Source organism: Homo sapiens, chromosome X (assembly GCF_000001405.40).
Source record: "Homo sapiens chromosome X, GRCh38.p14 Primary Assembly".
Lineage (NCBI taxonomy): Eukaryota > Metazoa > Chordata > Mammalia > Primates > Hominidae > Homo > Homo sapiens.
The window spans coordinates 81,284,775-81,310,649 of record NC_000023.11 but is presented as its reverse complement, the minus strand read 5'-3'; the positions used below and the strand labels follow the sequence as shown (position 1 = coordinate 81,310,649).

At 35.9% G+C, this 25,875-nt stretch overlaps 1 protein-coding gene across 4 annotated transcripts in view; it reads right to left on the bottom strand.

Annotated features, from left to right (window-relative positions):
- Positions 1 to 12,102: 12,102 nt before the first annotated feature.
- SH3BGRL (SH3 domain binding glutamate rich protein like) overlaps positions 12,103 to 25,875 on the bottom strand; it is a 96,446-nt gene continuing 82,673 nt past the window's right edge. For all 4 annotated transcript variants that reach the window (XM_011531014.2, NM_003022.3, XM_047442354.1 and 1 more), the window contains one exon: positions 12,103 to 13,455. In XM_011531014.2, the coding sequence (XP_011529316.1) occupies positions 13,423 to 13,455 (33 nt within the window). In that variant the 3' untranslated portion in view covers positions 12,103 to 13,422. The remainder of the gene's footprint in view (positions 13,456 to 25,875) is intronic.

Here is a 25,875-nt window from a genome sequence, read left to right as displayed (position 1 = left end):
TATATACGTATATATGTATACTTATATATGTATATACATATAAACATGTATATACATATATACATGTGTATATACGTGTATGTATATACGTGTGTATATACGTGTATGTATATGCGTGTGTATATACGTGTATGTATATGCGTGTGTATATACGTGTACGTATAATGAAATACTATTCAGCCATAAAAAGGAATAAATTCATGGCATTCATAACAACCTGGATGAGACTGGAGACTATTATTCTAAGTGAAGTAACTCAAGAATAAAAAACCAAACTAAATATTCTCACTCATAAGTGAGAGACAAGCTATGAGGATACAAAGGCATAAGAATGACACAGTGGATTTTGAGGACTCAGGGAGAAAGGGTGGGAAGCAGGTGGGAGATAAAAGACCACAAATTGGGTGCAGTGTATACTGCTCAGGTGATGGGTGCACCAAAATCTCACAAATCACTAAAGAAATTACTCATGTAACCAAACACCACCTGTTCCCCAATAACCCATGGAAAAAATTATAATAATTTGAAAACATTAAAAATATAAATAAAAAATAAAAACAAATTCCTAACCAGTGGGTTAAAGAAAAAAATGAGAAAAGACCTTGGTATAAATAAAAGAAACACACACACACACACACACACACACACACACACACACACACACAATATAACAAAACTTATAGGATGTAGTTTAAAAAGTGCTTGGAGGAAAATGTATATTTGTAATATTTTAATTTAATAAATTTTTCAGATCAATACATTCACTCCCACTTTAATGAGAAACTGGAAAATATGAGCAAACTAAACAAAAGCAAGCTAATGATTAGAGGGGAAATCAACAAAATATAAAACAGAAAAACAATAGAGAAAATCAACAAAACCCAAACTTGGTTCTTTGAAAGATAAACAAAAATGACAATCCTTTAGCTAGATAGATCAATAAAAATAGAGAGAACACTAAAATTACTAAAATCAGGAATAAAAAAGCAGACATCACTACTGACTATAGAGAAATATGTAGGATTATAAGGGAATTGTATGAACTAGTATAGTTGGAAAATGTTAAAATCTGTCAAAACTGAGTTAAAAGAAATAGAATACTTAAAAAGGTATGTAATGAGTAAAGATACTGAATTAGTAATCCAATGACTTCCCACATAGGGAAGTCCAGGTTCAGATGGCTTTACTGGTAAACGCTACCAGATATTTAAGAAAAATTAACACCAATCCTTTGAAAATTCTTCCAAAATATGGAAGAGCAGAACAAGCATTACAATATATTCTTTGGGGTCAATATTAACCTGATAGCAAAAGTATAAAAACATATCACGATATAAAAAATGACAGACCAATATCCCCTTATGAATAAACATGCAAAAATCCTGATGAAAATGTATAGTAAACCAAAATCCAGCAATATATAAAAGAGATTATGCACCATGGCTAAGTGGAACTTTCAGAAATTCAAAGTTGGTTCAACATATGAAAATCAATTAATGTAATATACTAAATGAATAAAAAGAAAACATAATTTTCTCCATAAGTGTAGAAAAAAGCATTTGCCAAAACCCAACACTTTCATGATAAGCGGTCAACAAACTAGAAATCGAATCGAACTTCTTAAACCTGATAAAGAACATCTATGGAAAACCCAAAAGACTGTGACAAGATGCTCAACAAGACACAGCCAGGATGAGCTTCTCCCACTGAGAGAGACCAGAATATAGGGTAGAACAGCATATTCCAAACAAATCGTCTCAGAAAATACACTGAGAGTGAGTAGAGAGAAAAATATAGAAATTGGGGCTGAAGAGAGAGGAAGCTGCGAACCCTGCACTGGGCTGCCAAGCACTGGGATTCATTCCTGGCCCTGAAAGGCTCCTAAGGTAGGGGTGAATGAACTAACTGTGGAGTAACCCACTCTCACCACAGATCTGCAAGATCTTAACTGCAGGAAATCCCATGACTCTTACGGACATATAAATTGAAAGGAGGAACTGCACAAAGAGATGGAACAGACAGAGCCCAGGGAGTTGCCATGGGGATAGCTGCAAAGGAACATGGCCGTAGGTGCCCATTCATCAATGCTCTCCATACTCCTCTAGATGGCTCTCAGCTGTGTTAACTACAGGACTTGAAGAGAGCAGAGCTGTCTTTCCCACAGAACAAGGGCAAAACTGATCTAAGTGCCCCCTGTCCACTTCACCATGGGAGCGGGCACACAGTGAAGCCACCACTGCTCAACCAGAGGGCTTTTGCAGGTGACCACTACCAGATTGCTTTCACTGGGGGCCCCTCCCACCATCCCACCAGAGTGCTTTCCCCAGTGCCCCCGCCCCCACCACTGCCCCACTGGAGCCCTTTAGCCAGTGGCTCCCTGCCGCTCTGAGGGAGTGCTTGTGACTATTGCCCCCACTGCCCTGACGTAGTGCTTTTACAAACCAACCCCCACTGACCTGATGGAGCACTTTCACCTTCTAACCCCAACAGAATGCTTTTACCAGCAGCTTGGGAGACTCTCAACCCCCCTAGCACAGCTGGTGCTCAGTCTCAAGGGGCCAGATAACAAGACTACGGGCTCAGTCCCAGTCCCCCAGGATAAAAGCAGCAGTCCAAGAGTGACAAGGTGAGCCTTGGCCCTCTAAAAGCATCCAGACGTGAAGCCAATCAACCATATTTAACTTGCACCACAAACACTCAAGAGAAATTAAGACTATAAAAACAAGAAGCCCCATCCAAAAGACAGCAATTTCAAAGAATAAATTAACATCAGCTTTCACAGGTGACAAAGAACCAGCACAAAAACTCTGGCAACTCTAAAAGCCAGAGTGTCGTCTTATCTCCAAATGATCACACTAGCTCCCCAGCAATGGTTCTTACCAGATTGAAATGGTTGAACTGTCAAACACAGAATTCAGCCTCTGGATGGAAACCAAGCTCAAAGAGATACAGAGGGTTGAAACCAAACAAGAAAAATGGTAAAATAATGCGAGAGTTCAAAGATGACCTAGCCATCTTAAGAAGGAACCATACTGAACTTCTGATAATAAATTTAGTACACAAATTTCATAATACAATTGGAAGCATTAGCAACAGAATAGATCAAGCTGAGGAATCCCAGAGCTCAAAGACCACTTCTTTGAATCAATGCAAGTAAACAAAAATTTAAAAAATAATTTTAAAAATGCACAAAATCTCTGAAAAATATGGAGTTATGTAAAGAGACCAAACCTATAACTCATTGGTATTCCTGAATGAGGAGAAAGAGTAAGGAACTTTGAAAACATATTTTAGGACACAGTCCACGAAAATTTTCCCAATATCACTAGAGAGGTCATCATGCAAATTAAAAAATTCAGAGAACGCTTTTGAGATATCATACAAGACAAACATCCCCAAAACACAGACTCATCAGATTTTCCAAAGTGAATGTGAAAGAAAAATTGTAAAGACAGCTAGAGAGAAGGATCAGGTCACCTATAAAGGCAGCCTTACCAGGCTAACATGGGCCTTTCACCAAAAACATTAGAAGCCAGAAGAGATTGGGGGCCTATTTTCAGCATCTTTAAGAAAATAAATTACAACAAATAACTTCATATCCCACCAAACGAGGCTTCATATGTGAAGGCGAAATAAATTCCTTTTCAGAGAAGCAAATGCTAAGAGAATTTGTTACCACTAGATCTGCCTGAAAAGGCATCCTTAAGTGAGTGCTAAACTTGGAAATGAAAGAAAGATACCTACCATCACAAAAACACACTTACATACATATGCCACAGACACTATTAAGCAACTACATAATCAAGTCTACATAACAACGATCTAACAACATGATGACAGGATCATATCCTTGCACATCAATATTAACCTTGAACATAAACAGGCTAAATGTCCCCACTTAGAAGGCATAGAGTGGCAAGCTGGATAAAGAAGCAAGACTCAACTGTCTGCAGTCTTCAGGAGACCCATCTCATATGCGATGATACCCACAGGTCCACAGTAAAGGGATGGAGAAATATTTATCATGCAAACAGAAAACAAAGAGCAGGGATTGCTATTCTTATATCAGATAAAACAGACTTTAAACCAACAGTAATTTAAAAGGACAAAGAAGGTCGTTACATAATAAAAAAGGGTTCAATTCAACTAGAAAACTTAACTATTCTAAATATATATACACCCAAATTTGGAACACTCAGATTCATAAAACAGGTACATAGAGACTTATGAACAGATGTAGATTATGATAAAATGATATTAGAAGACATCAACACCTCACTGACAATGTTTCAGACCATCCAAGCAGAAAACTAATAAAGATATGTTGGATTTAAACTCAACACTTGAACAATTGGATATAATAGACATCTACAGAATACTCCACCAAATAAGAACAGAATGCACATTCTTCTCATCTGCATGCAGTACATGCTCTAAGATGGATCACATGCTTGACCATAAAACAAGTTTCAACAAATTTAAAAAAAAATCTAACCATATCACTCACATTCTAAGACCAAAGTATAACAATAATAGAAATCAATACTAAGAAGATCTCTCAAAAGCATACAGTTACATGGAATTAAACAATGCACTTATAAATGACTGTGAGTAAAAAACAAAATCAATGGAGAAACCAATAAATTATTTGAAACTAATGAAAAAAGAGCCACAACATACTAGAATTGTTGGGACAGAGCTAAAGAAGTGTTAAGAGGTAAGTTTATAGCACTAAAGACGTCAAAAAGGAAGATCTCAAAGTAACAACCTAACATCAAACCTGGAGGAACTAGAAAAACAAGAGCAAACAAACCCCAAAGCTAGCAGGAGAAAATAAATAACCAAAAATCAGAGGAAAACGAAATAAAACTGAGATGCAAAAATTCATACAAAGATCTACAAAACCAAAAGTTTGTTCTTTCAAAGAATACGCAAGATTGATAGTCTGCTAGTTCAACTAACAAAGAAAAAAATGGAGAAGATAAAAATAAGTTCAATCAGAATGGAAAAAAGTGACATTACAATAACCCCATGGAAATACGAAAAAAAATAAATAATCACAGACTATAACAAACACCTCTATGCACATAAACTAGAAAACCTAGAAGAAATGGGTAAGTTTTTGGAAACACATAGCCTCCCAACATTGAAAAACTTGATACCCTGAGTAGACCAATAACAACTTCTGAAATTGAATCAGTAATAAAAAACACCTACTAAGCAAAAAATAAAGCCCTAGATCAGATGGATTTACAGCTGAATTTGACCAAATGTGCCAAGAAGAGCTAGTACCAATCCTACTAAAATTATACCAAAAAATCAAGGACAAGGGGCACCTCCCTATCTCATTCTATGAAGTCAGCACCATTAAGATACCAAAACCTCACAGAGACACAATAATAGAAGGATACTTCAGGCCAATACCCCTGATGAACATACACACAAAAATCCTCAACAAAATACTAGCAAACCAAATTGAGCACCACAACAAAAAGTTAATACCTCATGATTAAATAGGCTTCACTCCTGGGATGCAAGGTTGATTCAACATCTGCAAATCAATAAATGTGATTCACCACAAAATAGAATTAAAAACAAAACCACGTACCCATCTCAAGAGATGCAGAGAAGGCTTTTGATAAAATACAACATCACTTCATATTAAAAATCCTCAACAAATTAGGCTCTGAAGGAACATACATCAAACTAATTACAGCCATGTATGAAAAACCCACAGCCAACATCATGCTGAATGAGCAAAAGCTGGAAGCATTCCCCTTGAGAACTGGAACAAGGCAAGGATGCCCACTCTCACCACTCCTACTTAACACAGTGCTGAAATTTGTAGCCAGAGCAATTAGGCAAGAGAAAGAAATAAAAGGCACCCAAATAGAAAAAGAGGAAGTCACACTATCTGTCTTTGCAGATGATATGATTCTATTGCTAGAAAATGCTAAAGACTCTGCCACAAGGCTCCTAGAACTGAAAAATGACTTCAGTTAAGTTTCAGGATACAAAATTAATGTACAAAAATCAATAGCATTTCTATATGACAATAACATTCACATTGAGAGCCAGATCAATAATGCAATCCCATTTGCAATAGCCACAAAAAGAATAAAATATCTAGGAATACATCCAAACAAAAACATGAAGGATCTCTACATTGAGAACTACAAAACAGTACTGAAAGAAATAGAGACAACACAAACAATTGGAAAAATATTCCATGCTCATGTATGGGAAGAATTAATATCATTTAAATGGCCATACTGCCCAAAGCTATCAATATATTCAATGCTATTCTTATCAAACTACCAATGCCATTTTTCACAGAAGTATAGAAAGCAATTTCAAAATTCACATAGAACCAAAAAAAGAGCCTGAATAATCAAAGCAATCCTAAGCAAAAAGAGCAAAGCCAGAAGCATCACACTTACCAACTTGAAACTACACTACAAGGCTAAAGTAACCAAAGCAGCATAATACTGGTACAAAAACACATCCATGGACCAATGGAACAGGAGAGAGAACCAAGAAATACAGCTGCACACTTACAACCATCTGATATTTGACAAAGTTGACAATGACAAGTAATGGGGAAAGGACTTCCTATACAATAAACTGTGCTTTGATAACTGGATAACTATATGCAGAAGATTAAAATTGGACCCCTTTCTTTAACCACTTACAAAAATCAACTCAAGCTGAATTAAAGATTTAAGCATAAGACCTCAACCTATAAAAACCCTAAATGAACACCTAGGAAATACTTTTCTCAACATAGGCCTTGGCAAAGATTTTATGACTAAGTCCCAAAAAGCAACTGTAACAAAAACAAAAATTGACAAATGAGACCTAATTAAACTAAAGAGCTTCTGCACAGCAAAAGAAACGATCAACAATGTAAACAGACTACATACAAAATGGGAGAAAATATTCGTAAACTATGCATCTGACAAAGGTGTAATATCCAGAATCTATAAGGAACTGAAACAAATCAAGAAGCAAAAACCAAATAGCCCCATTTAAAAAATGGTGAAAGGACATGAGCAGACACTTCCCAAAAGAAGACTATTTAAAGGAGCTATTAAATATATGAAAACATTCACAACTCCACTTATCATCAAAGATTTGCAAATCAAAACCACAGTGAGATACCTTCTCACACCAGTTAATATGGTTATTATTAAAAAGTCAAAAAATAGCAGATGCTGCCTAGGTTTGTGGTGAAAAGAAAATGCCTATACACTGTTGGTGGGAATGTAAATTAGTTCAGCCACTGTGGAAAGCCATTTTGAGATTTCTTAAACAACTTAAAACAGAACTAGTATTCAAACCAGCAACCGCATTACTGGATATACCTCTAAAAGCAAATATATCATTCTACAAAAAAGACACATGCACTCATATGTTCATTGCTGCATTATTAACAATAGCAAAGATATGAAATCAGCCTGGATGCCCTTCAACAGTGGCCTGGATTTAAGAAAATGTGGTATAGACCCTGGAATACTACACAGTCATAAAAACAATGAAATCATGTCCTTTGCAGAAACATGGATGCAGCTTGAGGCCATCATCCTAAGCCACCTAACACAGGAACAGAAAATCAAATATCACGTGTTCCCACTTACAAGTGGGAACTAAACACAGTATACAAGGACACAAAGCTGAGAACAACAGACACTGAGGACTACTTGGAGAGGATAGTGGAAGTGGGTTGATAGTTAAAAAACTAATTATTGTGTACTAAACTCACTCCCTGAGTGACAGCATAATTCCTTCAGCAAACCCCATTAACATGTATTTTACCCATGTAAAAATGAGTAAAGCACATGTAGCTCCTGAACCTACTTTAAAAATAAAAAGAAAAAAAAAGCGCTTTTAGGTAAAACCAGCTTAATAAATGTGGAAAAAATATATGTCAAACTTATATTTCACTTAACGGCAAAAGATTGACATAAGTAAATAAATAAATCGGGAAGAAGACGAGGATTTATGCTCTAGAAACTTATTTTCAACATTGTAATCGAGGTTCTAACCAGGCCAATCAGGCAAGAAATACAATATATCCAGATCAGAAAGGAAGTAAAAGTTTCTTCCTTTGCAGATGACAGGATTTTTTATTAATATATAAACTATCTTAAAGAATCCACAAGAAAACCTATGAGAAGCAATAAACCAATTCAACAATGTTGCAAGTTACAAAATGAAAATACAAAAATCATACGTAAATACAGTGGTCACGTGTGTTTATGTACACTGGATAGATATGAAGAAACCAAAATTAATATTAAGAAAACAATTCTACTTATAACAGCATCAAAAAGAATAAAATGTTTAGAAATAAATTTAAGAAAAAAGGGTGAAGTATAAACTCTGCAAACTAAAAACTATTGCTGAAAGCAACTAAAAAAGATGCAATTAAATGGAAAGGCATCCATGCTTATGAATTAAAAGAGTTAATATTGTAAAGATGACACTGCTTCCCATGTTCAACTAAATATTCAACAGAATCCTTATCAAAATCCCAGCTGGGTTTTTTGCAGGTATTGACATGCTGATCCTATGAGTCATACAGAAATGCAAGGGATGCCAAAGAAAAAAAAGAATTTAAAAAGAAAGAACAACACTGGAGGACTCACACTTCCAAGTTTCAAAATGTACTACACAGCTACAGAAATCAAAACTGTGTGGAACTGGCAAAGGTACACATATAGTACACTGACATATAAACCATAGAAATATAATTGAATGCCCCGAAATATACCTTTACATGCAGCATTATTTACAATAGACAAGTTATGGAATCAACCCAAGTGTCCATCAATGGATGAATGGATAAAGAAAATATGTCTGTGTGTGTGTGTGTATATATATATATATACATATAAAACATTTTCTTTATATATGTTCCTTTATATATGTTTTTATAAAGAATATATGTTCTTTATAAAATATCTTAAAGAATATATGTTGTTTATAAAAACATATATAAAGGAACATATATAAAGAACATATATATGTTCTTTATGTTCTTCTTATGTCTACATGTGTTCTTCTTATGTTCTCTATATATGTTCCTTTATATATGTGTCTTTATATGTGTTTCTTATGTAACATTTCCACTGTATATGTGTATTTTATATATATATTATATATTTATGTTTTACATATATATAATATACACACACATATACAGTGGAATACTATCCAGCCTTATAAAAAAGAAGATTCTGTATTTGCAACAACATGGATGAATGTGGAGGACACTATACTAAGTGAAATATGCCAGATGCAGAAATACAAATACCACATGGTCTCACTTATATGTGGAATCTAAAATAATGTTGGTTAGCAGAGGCTAGGTGGGGTGAAATAGGGTGATGTTGGTCAAACAGTAAAAAGTTGCATCTGAACAGTAGGAATAAAGTAAGGTTATGGATATATTAATTAGTTTGATTAAATCATTTCCCACTGTGCATATATACACATATATAATATATATTATATAAAATAGCATCACACTACTTCTAGTTGTATGCAATTATAATTTGTTAAAATCATTAAATTAACAAATATATAACTACATATTTATGTATGATTATCTTATTTTTGACAAAGCTGCCAGGAAAATTTAATGGGGAAAGAGTGGTCATTTCAGCAAATGGTGCTTGGACAACTGAATGAACTTAAATCCCTATCCCATATCATATACAAAAAGTAACTCAAAATAGATCACAGACGTAAGTGCTCAAGGTAAAACTATTAAATGAAAACAGAAAAGTAAATCTTTATGACCTTGGATTAGGCAATGTTTCCTTAGCAAAAACAAAATATAAGCAATAACAAAAAAAAAGATGAATTTGCCAAAATTTAAAACTTACATACTTCAAAGCATACCCTCAAGAAAATAAGACGACCCATATAATGGTAAAACATTTTCAAACCACATATATAATAACAGACTTGTAATCAGAATATATAAGGAAATGTTAAAATTGAGCAATAAAAATACAAATAACCCAATTTAAAGATGGACACAGGATCTGAAAAGACATTTCTCCAAAGAAGATATATAAATGGCTATAATCACATAAAAAGATGCTCAACATATTTAGCCATCAGAGAAATGTAAATCACAACTACAATGAGGAACCACTTTATAGCCATCAGAATGGCTGTAATCAAAAGTGTAAATAACAACAAGCACTGGCCAGAAATTGGGAAAATCAGAACAATACTCATACATTGTTGGTGGGAATGTAAAATAGTGAAGCCAACTTGGAAAAGTCTCACGTTCCTCAAATTGTTAAATACAGAACAATCATGTAACTCTTCTACATATATATCCAAGACACAAAAACAGGTATTCCAACAAAAAATTTGTACACCGATGTTCATAGCAGCATTATGCGTAACAGCCAAAAAGTGGAAACCACCCAAATGTCCATCAACTGATTAATGGGCAAACATAATGTGCTTTTATCCATACAATGGAATGTTATTCAATAAAACATGTGAAGTACTAATGCATGCTACAACATGGATGAAACTCAAAAATGTGGTAACTAGAAGACACAAACCACAAAAGACCACATATTGTATGACTTTAGTTATATAAAATGTCTAGAATAGGTAAATCCACAGAGACAGAAAGTAAGTTGGTGTTTGCATAGTGCTGAGGGAGTGGGGGATGGGGAGTGACTGCTATTGGGTAGAGTTTATTTGTTGGGTGATGAAACATTCTAAACTTAAATCTTAGTGATGGTTGCATGATTCTGTGAATATAGTAAAAGTCACTGCCTTATACACTTTAAATGAGCAAAGTTTACAGTATGTGAATTGTATATCTCAGTAAAGATGTTAAAAAGACAATTGTGTGAAAATAGGAATTATGGTAACATTATAGTACTCTTTACAAAGGATTTCAAAATTTTGTTTGCTAAATAAAGGAAGGTGATAATAGATACAGGGGAAGAATGATGGGTGGAAGCAGAAGACTAGAAGGTTCAAATTAATCAAATGTGCATGTTTCTTAATCAGTTTTGTTGGAATTCTTCAAAAGAAAAGAAATATGTATTTTACATTAAAAAGATTAGACCAATGTCAACCTTTCAATATTTTTCAGCATCCACAACTGGGTAATAAAATCCATGTGAATCCTCATTTTTCCTTTTGCTGAATGAATGGAATATGTGCAATGAAATCTGACTTCACCAACATTTTCTGTATTTAAACTTTCCCAAGCAAGTAATTAACAACTTCTGTTTTAAAATTCTGTTTACCCCTACACTCAGACTCCCAAAGAAATGTTGACATTTAACAATGCAATCGACGTCCAATTTGCATTGTTTGGTGAAAATGAAAATCTTCCTGAGAGTCAAATATTCCCAAGAACAAACCAGCTCAATAACTGAACATAACAAATAAACAAGTCTGATTTACAAACAGAAACAATCTGAATGTAATATAACAAGTGGCAAAGATTATATTTTCCGGCCAAATATTTTGGAGATTTTTTTAAATAAAACTCACCTTCATATTCAGAATTTCACTTGCATTTTTGTATCTACAAAACATATTTCTCAGCTGACAAAATAAAATATTTCAGTTTAGGAAGACTCAATTCAACCTTTTACTTTAATATACTATGTTAATTTTAAGTTATATAAACATGGCAAAAAATACATCTATTTTTAAAGAATGCCCATTTTGGCAGTGTTAACTTATTTGACATTAAAATAAAAGTGAAAATGACCACATAAAATATTGCAAGTATCATCAGCAACATTTAATAAAGCTTAGGAGAAAATATTGACTAAAAAACTTTTTTTGCGTTTCCAGTGTATTACAAAGCACCCTGTTTTCTCTAGAGTTCTTTATGCCGTATTTTTGTAAACCCAATAAAATTGTTCATTTGACCTCATGTGTATTGTGAGATTAAAAGCCCTAAAAAGAAAACATAGAAAACGAAAACCTTGAATTGCATTCAAAGCTTTTTCTTTCTACTATTTTCTCTTTTTGCATTCCCAACCCTCTAAAAAAAGATATTACTCATCTAAAATTACTATTATATAAACTCCAAGAACACATAAGTTATGTTTCTAAAAGTACTGAGTTTATTTTAAAGCATAGCATCAAGTTTGAATCTCATGAAACAAAGGCATCTCTTCATTATATGTTGATTTTGGCAAAAAGTAAAGACCAGCATACAATAGATATACATGATAATGTAGTTTAAAGTAAGAGGTGTTTGCTTTTGGTAATAAGGTAGTGTGAAACTTACTATGTAAATCTATGTTGGTTATTTAGGCCATGTTTCTTGTCTTTTTAGAAGTCTTCAGGCTTAATATTTTAAAAGTTGCCCTTTTTATTTGATACTTCTACTTTTTGCTGGAATAGAGGCATAGAAAAGATTCTCACTGCTTAGACTAATACACTCATACAATACATGGCTAAACTGAAATAAAAAGGTAAGATATCTTAGGAATAGTAGCATTTACGATTGTGAGTTGTTTTAAACGGGCAAAACTACTAAGATTTGTTTTAGCAAAAACTCAAGGGAAACCAATCTTGGGAAATGATCGCCAACCTGTTTTATAAGAGTTATTTAAAAGTCTAATCTCTTTGCTAGAGAATGCCATTTTAAGCTTACTTGGCATCCCACTTTCATGATATACATATGCATATTTCACTGAGGCAAGGAACTTGGATATATCATTCCATCATAGCTGTGTAGTTAAACAAGGAACTTGTCCACTGAATGAATCTATTGCTTTTGTGCGTGTAAAAGGATATCTATTCTGATCACTGAAATGTGCAATGAAAGGCTACATTTAGAAGCTCAGAAAATCTGTGGTTCAATATGTAGAAGTTTCATCTACAAAAGAATGGGAATGTTATAATTACGATAGGAAATTACAACGTTTAACATATCATAAACATTACCTGCAAGAACTTTTTAATCGCAGTAATATAGCATCAAAAAGGTACATATTCTTGTTCATGAAAATTAATGAGGCAACTTAGGAATGAGAGACAGGTTATTTCTCTTTCTCCTTTTTAATGTAGAGCTGCAGATACACTTAAGTTGCCATAGTAATGGCAGAAGGAGGGAAGGGTGTTTTCTTTGTAAAATCATTGGTGTATACAGGATGGCTTGGCAGGTAACAACACTATTTCTACGATATCTACTTATTAATATAATTTTATGTTAATATCCCATTCTCCTCACCATAATCACCATAATGTTCAAATTTTAATTTTGTATTCATTTTGAATGTTTGCATGTGAAAACCCAACTAATCTATTATTTCAACATTAAGCCTATTTCTTTTGAAGCAAAGCTAATTCTGCTATTTTATAAAAGCAATGGAGACTCATTTTTCAGGATGCTTAAAGCACAGTGCTTAAGGTTCATGCTTGCTGCTTTGCTTGCACTTCTGCTTCCTGAAATGAAAAACAAACAAAACAGATAAGTTTAAACATCACAGAGCAGACACCCATGTGTATTTTAGTCAGACTACATTAGTTCCAACTACTAAGAATAAACAAAAGCCCCCAGAAGAGATTTCTTAAAAAGTTCTTAATAGAAAAACTATATAATACAAACAGATTTCTAGAAACAGATACACAAAAAGACTACCTAATCATTCCTAATGATTTGGAATACTTTCATGAAAGCAAGTGATATACAATTATAATTGATATTTTACTTAAAAATAGTCAGTTTCCTTTTTGTGTGATTTTTTTTCATGAAAATTGAGAATATAAAAACATGGTTACTTAAGTTTAAAATTAGTTGGGTTTTGGTTAATTAAGGTTTAAATTACTTAGAAAATGTGCTATCCATTAAAATATTGTAGTTTTCATGTTTTATGATAGAATACACACCAAAAAATCAGGTTGTCTTCCTTCTCCTCTGGATAGTGAGGTACTCACCTCTAGCATAGGAACTCTGACCTACTTGACACAAAATAAACTTCAAGGAAAGTTTGTTGAACTAAAGATGAGTGGCAAGATTGACTCCAGAAAAGGAAACATCAGACTTAAGTTGTAGAAATCAAGCGTGGTAGACAACATCATTCTAAACACCTGTCACTAAATCAATACTTGACAGTCTCAGGAGGACTGATACTGTCCAAATGAGTCCCAGTATTACATGCAAAAGAAGGGAGAAAAGCTAAAAGAGACACTAGATTTTTACCCAAAAAAGGCAAAAGTAGAGGAAAGAAGAAAATATTAAATGACACCAAAATTCATTCTTCATATCCTTTAAAAAAATAACGAAATATACTACTGACTCATTGATATGGTTTGGCTCTGTGTCCCCACCGAAATCCCATGTCAAATTGCAATTCCCAGTGTTGGAGGAGCAGCCTGCTGGGAGGATATTTGATCATGAGGGCAGTTTCTAATGGCTTAGCACCATCCTCCTACTGCTGCTTGTCTAAAAGTGTGTAGCACCTCTCCCTCTCTCTCCTGCCACCAGGCGAGGACGTGCTTCCTTCCCCTTCACCCTTTGCCATGATTGTAAGTTTCCTGAGGCCTCCTCAGCCATGGCTCCTGTACAGTCTTTGGAGGTGTGGGTCAATTAAACCTCTTTCTTCTTTATATATTGTCCAATCTCAAAAAGTTCTTTATAGCAGTGTAAGAATGAACTAATACATAAAATTGGTACCAGGGGTGGGGTATTACTATAAAGATACCTGAAAATGTGGAACCAACTTTGGAGGAAAGGTTGGTACAATTTGGAGGGCTCAGAAGAAGGCAGAAAGATGATGGAAAGTTTGGAGCTTCCTAGAGACTTGTTAAATTGTTATGACCGAAATGCTGATAGTGACATGGACAATAAGGTCCATACTGAGGTGGTCTCTGATGAAGATGAAGAACTTATTTGAAACTGGAGTAATGGTCACAACTACTGTGCTTCAGCAAAGAGACTGGTGACACTGTGCCCCAGCTCAAGGGATCTGTTGAAATTTGCACTTGAGAGAGATGGTTTAGGGCAAGCTTGTCAAACCTGTGGTCTGTGGGCTGCATGCTGCCCAGGACAGCTTTGAATGTGGCTGTATTAGTCTGTTTTCATGCTGCTCATAAAGACATACCCAAGACGAGGGAGAAAAAGAGGTTTAATTGGACTTACAGTCCCACATGGCTGGGGAGACCTCAGAATCATGGCGGAAGGTGAAAGACACTTCTTAAGAGGAGGCAGCAAGAGAAAATGAGGAAGATGCAAAAGTGAAAACGCCGGATAAAACCAACAGATCTGGTGAGATTTATTCACTACCACAAAAGCAGTATGGAGGAAACTGCCTTCATGATTCAAATTATCTCCCAACGAGTCCCTCTCAAAACAGGTGAAAATTATAGAAATAAAACTCAAGATGAGATTTGGGTGAGAACAAAGTGACAAACCATATCATTCTACCCCTGACCTCTCCAAATCTCATGTCCTCACATTTCAAAACTAGTCATGCCTTCCCAAAAGTCCCACAAAGTCTTAACTCATTTCAGCATTAAACCAAAAATCCACAGTCTGAAGTCTCATCTGAAACAAGTAAAGTCCCTTCCGCCTATGAGCCTGTAAAATCAGAAGCAAGTTCATTACTTCCTAGATACAACGATGGTACAGGCATTGGGTAAATACAGATGTTCCAAATGGGAGAAATTGGCCAAAACAAAGGGGCTACAGGCCCAGTGAAAGTTCAAAATCCAGCAGGGCAGTCAAATCTTAAAGCTCCAAAATGATCTCCTTTGACTCCATGTCTCACATCCAGGTCACAGTGATGCAAAAGGTAGGTTCCCATGGTCTTGGGCAGCTCTGCCCCTGTGGCTCTGCAGGGTACAGCCTCCCTCCCAGACCTTTTCACAGACTGGTGTTGAGTGTCTGCAGCTTTGCCAGGCACATGGTGCAAGCTGTCAGTGGATCTACCATTCTGGGGTCTGAAGGACAGTGGCCCTCTTCTCACAGCTCTACTAGGCGGTGCCCCGGTAGGGACTCTGTGTGGGGGCTCCAACTCCACATTTCCCTTCTGCACTGCCCTAGCAGAGGTTCTCCATGAGAGCCCCACCTCTGCAGCAAACTTCTGCTTGGATATCGAGGCATTTCCATACATCCTCTGAAATCTAGGCAGAGATTCCCAAACCTCAATTTTTGACTTCTGTGCACCCACAGGCTCAACACCACATGGAAGTTGCCAGGGCTTGGGGCTTGTGCCCACCACAGCCATGGCACAAGCTGTACTTTGGCCCCTTTTAGTCATGGCTGGAGTGGCTGGGACACAGGGTACAAAGTCCCTACACTGCACACAGTATGCAGACACTGGGTCTGAACCACAAAACCATTTTTTCCTCCTAGGCCTCTGAGCCTGTGATGGAAGGGGCTGCCGTGAAGACCTCTGACATGCCCTGGAGACTTTTTCCCCATTTTCTTGGGGATTAATAATTGGCTCCTCATTACTTATGCAAATTTCTGCATCCGGCTTGCATTTCTTCTCAGAAAATGGGCTTTTCTTTTCTATTACATTGTCAGGCTGCAAATTTTCCAAACTTTTATGCTCTGCTTTCCTTATGAAAGTGAATGCCTTTAACCACACCCAAGTCACCTCTTGAATGCTTTACTGCTTCAAAATTTCTTCTACCAGATACCCTAAACCACCTTTCTCAAGTTCAAAGTTCTATAAATCCCTAGGGCAGGGGCAAAATGCCACCAGTCTCTTTGCTAAAACATATCAAGAATCACCTTGCTCCAGTTCCCAACAAGTTCTTCATCTCTATCTGAGACCACCTCAGCCTGGACCTTATTGTCCATATCACCATCAAGCTTTTGGTCAAAGTCATTCAATAAGTCTCTAGGAAGTTCCAAACTTTCCCACATTTTCCTGTCTTCTTCTGAGCCCTCCAAACTGTTCCAACCTCTGCCTGTTACCCAGTTAAAAAGTCACTTCCACATTTTTTTTGAGATGGAATCTCACTCTATCACCCAGGCTGTTGTGCCGTGGTGCAATCTCAGCTCACTGCAACCTCCACCTCCCTGATTCAAGTGATCCTCCTGCCTCAGCCTCCCAAGTAGCTGGGACTACAGGCACATGCCACCATGCCCAGCTACTTTTTGTATTTTTAGTAGAGACAGGGTTTCAGCATGTTGGCCAGGCTGGTCTCAAACTCCTGATCTCAAGTGATCCACCTGCCTCGACCTCCCAAAGTGCTGGGATTACAGGCATGAGCCAGCGCACCTGGCCACATCCACATTTTTAAGTATCTTTTCAGCAACACTCCACTGTGCTGGTACCAATTTACCATATTAGTCCATTTTCACCCTGCTGACAAAGGCATACCCGAGGCTGGGAAGAAAAAAAAAATGTTTAATTAGACTTACAGTTCCACATGGCTGAGGAGGCCTCAAAATCATGGGGGAGGAGAAAGGCACTTCTTACACAGTGGCAGCAAGAGAAAATGAGAAAGATGCAAAAGCAGAAACCTCTGATAAAACTATCAGATCACAAGACTTATTCACTACCACTAGAACAGTATGGGGGAAACTGCCCCCATGATTCAAATTATCTCCCACTGAGTCTCTCCCACAACACGTGGGAATTGTGGGAGTACAATTCAAGATGAGATTTGGATGCAGACACAGAGCCAAACCATATCAATGATCCAACACAAAGTCATAAACTTTCTTAAAACATTATGAGATTTTTTTTTTGCAATATTTTTTAGTTCATCAGCTATCACTAGTGTCATTGTATTTTATGTGTGGCCCAAGACAATTGTTCTTTTTCCATTGTGGTCCAGGGAAGCCAAATGATTGGACATCCCTGATTTAGGGTCTCTGGTGGAAGAAATTTCTAAGGAGCAAAGGGTTCAAGATGTAGCCTGGCTGCTTCTAACAGCATAGCTCATATACATTCACAAAGAAATGGTCTGAAATTGCATCTTACATTGAAAAGGGAAGCAGATAATAAAAGTTTGGAAAATTTGAAACCTAACCGTATGGTAGAAAATAAAAACCCATTTTCAGGGAAGAAATTCAAGCTGACTGCAGAAATTTGCATAAGTAAAGGGAGCTGAATGTTAATAGCCAAGACAATAAAGAAAATGCCTCCAGGGCATTTCAGAGGCCTTTATGGCAGCCCCTGCCATCAAAAGCCCAGAGGCCTGGAATAGTAAAATGGTTTTGTGGGCCAGGCACAGAGCTCCACTGCTCTGTGCAGCCTCAGGATATGGCAACTCATGTTCCAGCCACTCCAGCTACAACCATGGCTAAAAGGGCCCCAGATATGTGTCAGGCCACTGCTCCAGATGATGGAAGCTACAAGCCTTGGGTACTTCCACATGATGTTAAGGCTGTGGGGGTACAGCAGGCAAGAGTTGAAGCTTGGGAGTCACGGCCTAGATTTCAGAGGATGTATGAAAATACCTGGATGTCCAGGCAGAAGTCTGCTGCAAGCATGGAGCCCTCATGCAGAACCTCTACTGGGGCAGTGCTGAGAGAAAATGTGGGGTTGGAGCCCCCACACAGAGGCTACACTGGGGTACTGCCTAGTGTAGCTGTGAGAAAGGGGCCACTGCCTCCAGGAAGAATGGTAGATCCACTCACAGCTTGCACCGTGGACCTGGTAAAGCCACAGGCACTCATCACCAGCCCATGAGTGCAGTTGCCAAGGCTGTACCCTGCAGAGCTGCAGGATCAGAGTTGCCCAAGGCCCTGGTATCACATCCCTTGCATGAGTGTGCCCTGGATGTGAGACATGCAGTCAAAGAAGATTATTTTGAAACTTTAAGATGTAATAATTGTCCTACTTGGTTTCAGTCTTACATAGAGCAATTTTGTCAGTTTTGGCCAATTTCCCCCTTTTGTAATAGGAGCACTTACCTAATGCCTGTACTCCTACTGTATCTTGGAAGTAACTAACTTCTTTTTATTTTACAGGCTTATAGGAAAAATGGACTTGCCTCATCTCAAATGAGACTTTGGACTTGGACTTTTTAGTTAATGCTGAAAGGAGTTAAGACTTTGGAAGACTGTTGAGAAGAGATGACAGTATTTTGCAATGTGAAAAGGACATGAGATTTGGGAGGGGCCAGAGGCATAATGATATGGTTCAGCTCTGCATCCCCACCCAAATCTCATGTCAAATTGTAATTCTCATTGTTGGAGGAGGGGCCTGGTGAGAGCTGATTGGATCATGGGGGGTGGTTTCTAATGGTTTAGCACCATCCCCTTATTTCTGCTTGTCTAAAAGTGTGTAGCACCTAACTCAACGCCTCCTGCCAACAAGTGTAGATGTGCTTGCTTCCCCTTTGCCTTCCACCATGATTGTAAGTTTCCCGAGGCCTCCCAAGCCATGTCTGCTTTATAGCCTGTGGAACTGTAAGTAAATTAAACTTCTTTTCTTTATAAATTACCCAGTCTTGGGTAGTTGTTTATAGCAGTGTGAGAATGAACTAATAGACTCACCTTTGCAAATGCCTAGTCAAAAAAGGAAAAGTCCCTAAGTTCTTTTGAAGCTTTAACAGTGTTTAGATGTCAAAATGAATATGTTAAAGTCACAGTATGCATCTTGCTTCATTTTATAGAACAAGCTTTCAAGAATTTCTACACATAACTCAAAAAATAATTTATACTAAGACCCCTCAAAAACATAGCATACATAGTTGGAGAAGCAGTTGTATAATAATGCAAAAATGACCTAACATGAAATCCTTTTTCCTCTAAGGACCTAACATTGCTCCATAGCCAGTATTTTGTTCTTTTTTTTATTTTGAATTTTTGTATGTACATAGTAGGTATATATATTTATGGGGTATATGACATGTTTTGATACAGGCATGCAATGGATAATAATCACATCTGGGTAAACGGGGTATCCATAACTCCAATATGTATTGTTTGTATTATAAACAACATAATTATTATATTATTAGTTATCTTAAAGTATACAATTAATTTATTTTTGACCGTAGTCTTCATGTTTTGGTATCAAATACTAGATCTTACTCATTGTTTCTGTTTTTTGTGCCATTAACCAAACCCACTTCTCAATCACCCACTACCTTTCTCAACCTCTGGTAACCATCTTTCTATTCTCTATCTCCATGAGTTCAATTGCTTGATTTTTAGATCCCACAAATAAGTGAGAACGTGGTGATCGTCTCTCTGTTCTTGGCTTATATCACTTAAAATGGTAATCTCCAGTTCCCTCCATTTTGTTGCAAATGACTGGATCTCATTCTTTTTCATGGCTGAATACTACTCTATTATGTATAAATACCACATTTTCTTAACCCACTCATCTGTTCATGGACACTTAGGTTACTTCCAAATCTTGGCTATTGTGTACAGTGTGGCAACAAACATGAGATTGCAGATATCTCTTTGATATACTGATTTGCTTTTTTTAGTGTATATACCCAGCAGCAGGATTGCTGAATCATATGGTAGTTCTACTTTTAGGTTTTTGAGGAACCTCCAAACTGTTCTGTATAGTGGCTGTATTAATTTACATTCCCACCAACAGTGTATGAATGATCCCTTTTCTCCTCATCCTTACCAGCATGTATTATTGCCTGACCTTTGGATAAAAGCCATATTAACTGAGGTGAGATTATATCTCATTGTAGTTTTTATTTGCATTTCTCTAATGATCAGTGATGTTTAGCACACTTTCACATCTGTTTGCAACTCATATGTCTTCTTTTGACAAAGGATTATTCAAATCTTTTGCCTACGTTTTAATTGGATTATTAGAATTTTTCCTATAGAGTTGTTTTTTGTTTGTTTGAGGCAGTCTCACTCTGTCAACCAGGCTGAAGTGCAGTGGTACAATCTTGGCTCACTGCAACCTCCACCTTTTGGGTTGAAGTGATTTTCGTGTCTCAGCTTCCTGAGAAGCATGTCTTACAGATTTGTGCCACTACTCCCGGCTAATTTTTGTATTTTTAGTAGAGACGGGGTTTCACCTTGTTGGTCAGGCAGGTCTCAAACTCCTAGCCTCAAGTGATCTGCCCGTCTTAGTCTCCCAAAGTGCTGGGATTAAAGGTCTAAGCCACCATGCATGGCCCCTATAGAGTGGTTTGAGCCTCTCATATATGCTCGTTACCGATCCCCTGTCAGATGGGTAGTTTGCAAATATTTTCTCCCATTCTTTGGGTTGTCTCTTCACTTTGTTTATTGTTTCCTTTGTTGTGAAGAAACTTTTTAACTTGATGTGATCCCATTTGTCCATGATTACTTTCGTTGCCTGTGCTTTTGGGATATTTCTCAACAAATTTTTGCCCAGATCAATGTCCTGGAGAGTTTCTACAGTGTTTTCTTGTAGTCATTTCATAGTTTGAGGTATTAGATTTAAGTCTTCATTGTGAAATGGTTTTTGTATATGGCAAGAGATAGGGGTCAAGTTTCATTCTTCTGCATATGGATGTCCAGTTTTCCCAGCACCATCTATTGAAGTGACTCTCTTTTCCCCAGTGTATGTTCTTGGCACCTTTGTCAAAAATGAGTTCACCGTAGATGTGAGGATTTGTTTCTGGGTTCTCTATTCTGTCACCTTGGTGTATGTGTTTGTTTTTATGCCAATACCTTGCTGTTTTGATTAGTATAGCTCTGTATTATAATTGGAAGTCAGGTAATGTGATTCCTCTAGTTTTGTTCTTTACACTTAGGATAGCTATGGCTATTCTGGGTCTTTTGTGGTTACCCATGAATTTTAGATTTTTTTTTATTTCTGTGAAGAATGTCATTGATATTTTTATATTAATTGAATCTGTAGATTGTTTTGGACAGTATGAACATTTTAATGTATTGATTATTTCAATCCATGATCATGGAATATTTTTTCAATTTTTTATGTCATCTTCAATTTCTTTCATCAATGCTTTACATTTTCATTGTAGAAAACTTTAAGATCTTTGGTTAAGTTAATTCCTAGGTATTTAATTTTATTTGTGGCTATTGTAAATGGAATTACTTCTTATATTATTTTTCATATTATTTGCTGTTGACATATAGAAATGCTACTGACTTTGTATGTTGATTTTGCATCCTGCAACTTTACTGAGTTTGTTTATCAGTCCTAATGGTTTTTTGGTGAAGTCTTTAAAACTCTTTGAATTCAACATTATATCATTTGCAAACAGGGATAATTTGACTTCTTCATTTTGAGTTTGGATAACTTTAGGTATTTTTCTTGGCTGGTTGCTCTAGCTAAGACTCCCAGTACTATGTTAAATAACAGTGGTGAAAGTGGCATCAATGTAGTGCTCCATATCTTATAGGAAAGGCATTCAGTTTTTCCTCATTCAGTATGATACTAGCTGTGGTTCAGTCATATATGGCTTTTATTGTGTTGAAGTATGTTCCTTCTATACTAAGTCTTTTTGATGGCTTTTATCTTAAAAGACGTTGAATTATATCAAATGCTTTTTCAGCATCAATTGAAATGATCAGATGGTTGTTATCCTTCATTCTGTTGATATAATGTGTCACATTGGTTGATTTGCATATATTGAATGATCATTGCATTCCAGAAAAAATTCTCACTTGGTCAGGATGAATGATCTTTCTAATATAGTGTTGAATTCTGTTTGCTAATATATTTTTGAAAAATTTTGTATCAGTATTCATCAGAGATATTGTCCTGTAGTTTCTTTCTTTCTCTTTCTTTCTTTCTTTCTTTCTTTCCTTCCTTCCTTCTTTCTTTTTCTTTTTTATGTATTCTAGTGTGATTTTGGCACCAGGGTAATATTGGCCTTGTAGAATGATTTTGGAACTATTCGTTCCTCCTCTATTTATCAGAATAGTTTGAGTAAAATTGGTATTGCCATTTCTTTTTTATTATTATACTTTAAGTTCTGGGTTGCATGTGCAGAACATGCAGTTTTGTTACATAGGTATACACATGCCCTGGTGGTCTGCTGCACCCGTCAACCCGTCACCTATATTAAGTATTTCTCCTAATCTTGTCCCTCCCCTACTCCCCCACCCACAGACAGGTCCCGGTGTGTGATGTTACCCTCCCTGTGTCTATGTGTTCTCATTGTTCAACTCCCACTTAGGAATGAGAACATGCAGTGTTTGGTATTAGCATTTCTTTAAATGTTTGGTAAAATTCAGCAGTGAAGCCATTGGGTTTCAGGCTTTTATTTACTGATAAACATTTTGTTATGGCTTTGATCTTTTTACTTGTAATTGGTCTGTTCAGGTTTTGGATTTCTTCATGGTTCAATCTTGGTTGATTGTACGTGTCTAGAAATTTGTCTATTTCTTCTAGAATTTCCAATTTATTGGCATATAATTGCTTGTAGCAGCCACTAATAATCCTTTGAATTCCTGCAGTATAAGTTGTAATGTCTCATTTTCATCTATGATTTTTATTTAAATCTTCTCCACTTTTTTCTTAGTCTGGCTAAAAGTTTGTCAATTTTGTTTAACTTTTCAAAATACCAACGTTTTCTTTCATTTTGTATTGTTTTCTTCATTTCGATTTGTAACTAGTATTTTGGATTAATACTAGTTACACATATAGGGAAAGAAGTTTATTTCCCTAAAGTGACACACTATCAATCTTTCCTATAATTTGTCATAAATTCTGCAGCTCTAAGTTATCATTTTTAATGGGAGAAATCACTGGCATAGAAATCCAGAACAAAATTCATCTCAAAATTCTTTATAATTTGTCTTTAGAACACATCAAAGTTACAGTAAATTATTTACCTTTCTAATCTTATTTTATATATCAAATATGTGAATTTATCTGAACTCCTTATTAGTGCCTACAAGCAAATTGTCAGTATTTGTAGAATGAGTCATCCAATCAAACAGAGAGCTTTAAGAGCAAGCATATAATGTTCTCTTCCTCCGTATTCCCAATGTAAACATCATTCCATAAAGGCACTGGTTTTAAATCAGATAATCCTGGGCTAAAATTTCAGCTTCACTACTAAATCATTATATACCCTTTGATAAATTACTTAAATTATCCTCTCTAAAGTGCTTCTAATTATATCTATCCTAAAGGGATGGTGGAAAGATAAAATGAGATGTACCTGAGGTGCCTATCTCAGTGTTTGGCCCATTATAGGCATCCATCCTTCTTTCCTGCTTTTCCCCTCTCTTTTTTTTTTTTTTTTTTTTTTTTTTGCCTAGTAGCTAAAATCAATACCACAGCTAAGTTTATGAACATGCAGTCTCTCTTGGAGATGTAGTAAAAATAGGATGAATTCAGTATAAATAGGATTGCTTCAAATCTCACAGCAGAGATGGACTCCGGAGCTCCTCCCTGGAGCAGTTTAATTCAACTAAAGCTAACGAGGACATTTCTCTGACCCATACCCTCTATTCTTTCAACATAAGTGAACATGCCTTTGCCAATAGAGTCGTTTTCCTTTCTGCACAAGCATCACCAAATATTTATTTTGTGGTAAAAATATCAGTGATCTTATTTCATATCTCAAAACCATCATCTCCACTTTAAAGTAAGAAATGCCAGTACTAAGAAATATTTCATATTGACAAAATTGAGTGAATCACAGTAGACAAATACATACCTTGTTTTAAACAATCCAATATAAAAAAGAATACAACAATTATTTGTCTTACACAGAAGGATTCTTTGCCTTATGGAAATATTTGACACAGAGTACTTTTCAATATCAAGCTCTCCAGTGCATTGGTTTCAATTATTTTTTAAATGTAAAGAGTATGTTTGATAATTATTTAAAAGTAGAGAATAGGAGAAAATGCATATTAACTACCTTTCAGTTTCTTTTTTTGTCCTATCCATACATTTTAAATGTAATTAGAATATTAACCTTACTTTCAAAATAATTCTGTAGCTCATTTACATATATGTTTTCACAAATTTTCATTTTCTTCATGACAGTCCAAGTTCATTCAGTAGATAAACTATTTTTGTTGACGCTATCGTTAGATACTTAACTAGTTTCTAAAGTTCAGAATTAGACACAGTATAATACTTTGATTCATATTTTATCCATAAAGTCCATTCAATGCATGAATTTAGTTGAACCTCTTGTTAAATATGTTAAGCATTTAACTTGTTTTCAAAGTTTTAAGATTATAATTAACACTTCTATTCACATTTTTATCTATGAAGCTTTTTCCACGTATAGGATTATTTCACTTGATTATAATACCCAATGTGAAACCACTGGGTGAAGGAGTACCAATATTTTTGAGATCCTTGACACGTATTTGCCATTTTGGTTTTCAAAAAGGGGTACCAATTTATGCCAACATCAGTAACGTATTATAGCAACTGTTTCAATCCACCCTTCTCAGCACTATTATCATTTTGTTTTAGTTTTGCTGAATTTACAGCTAAACATTTTATCTCATTTTATCATATAACTTTTATTATCAATTCACTTTTTCAATGTGGGTTAACCAGTTGTCTTTCTTATTTAGTATACTTTCTGTTCATCTGGTTCTTTGTTGAAGGCTTATTATCCTGTTAAAGGGGAAAACTCTAGAAATTGAGCTGAAGTATAAAAATATCATTCTGACATGAAATGGATCACTTCTAGTCTTGGAAAAACCTATTAAATACCAAAATTCAAAATCTCCCTATCACCAATCCACTCTTCATGTTCATTGTCAATACCACACCTATTCTTGTTAACCCAGTCTATCAGGTCCTTCTTGCCCATCCTTCATAACATTCACTATTCATTTACTCTATTCCTACTCCTGAGCTTAAGCAATGATGGAAGAAACATGGTAACCAAGATGTCTAGCTTCCTATGGGCCCATCAGTTCTAACTACTGCTGGGCCCTGCTTAGCTGTTTTTTATTTATTTGTCTGTTTATTTATTTATTTATTTATGATCTTAGCCTATTCCCTA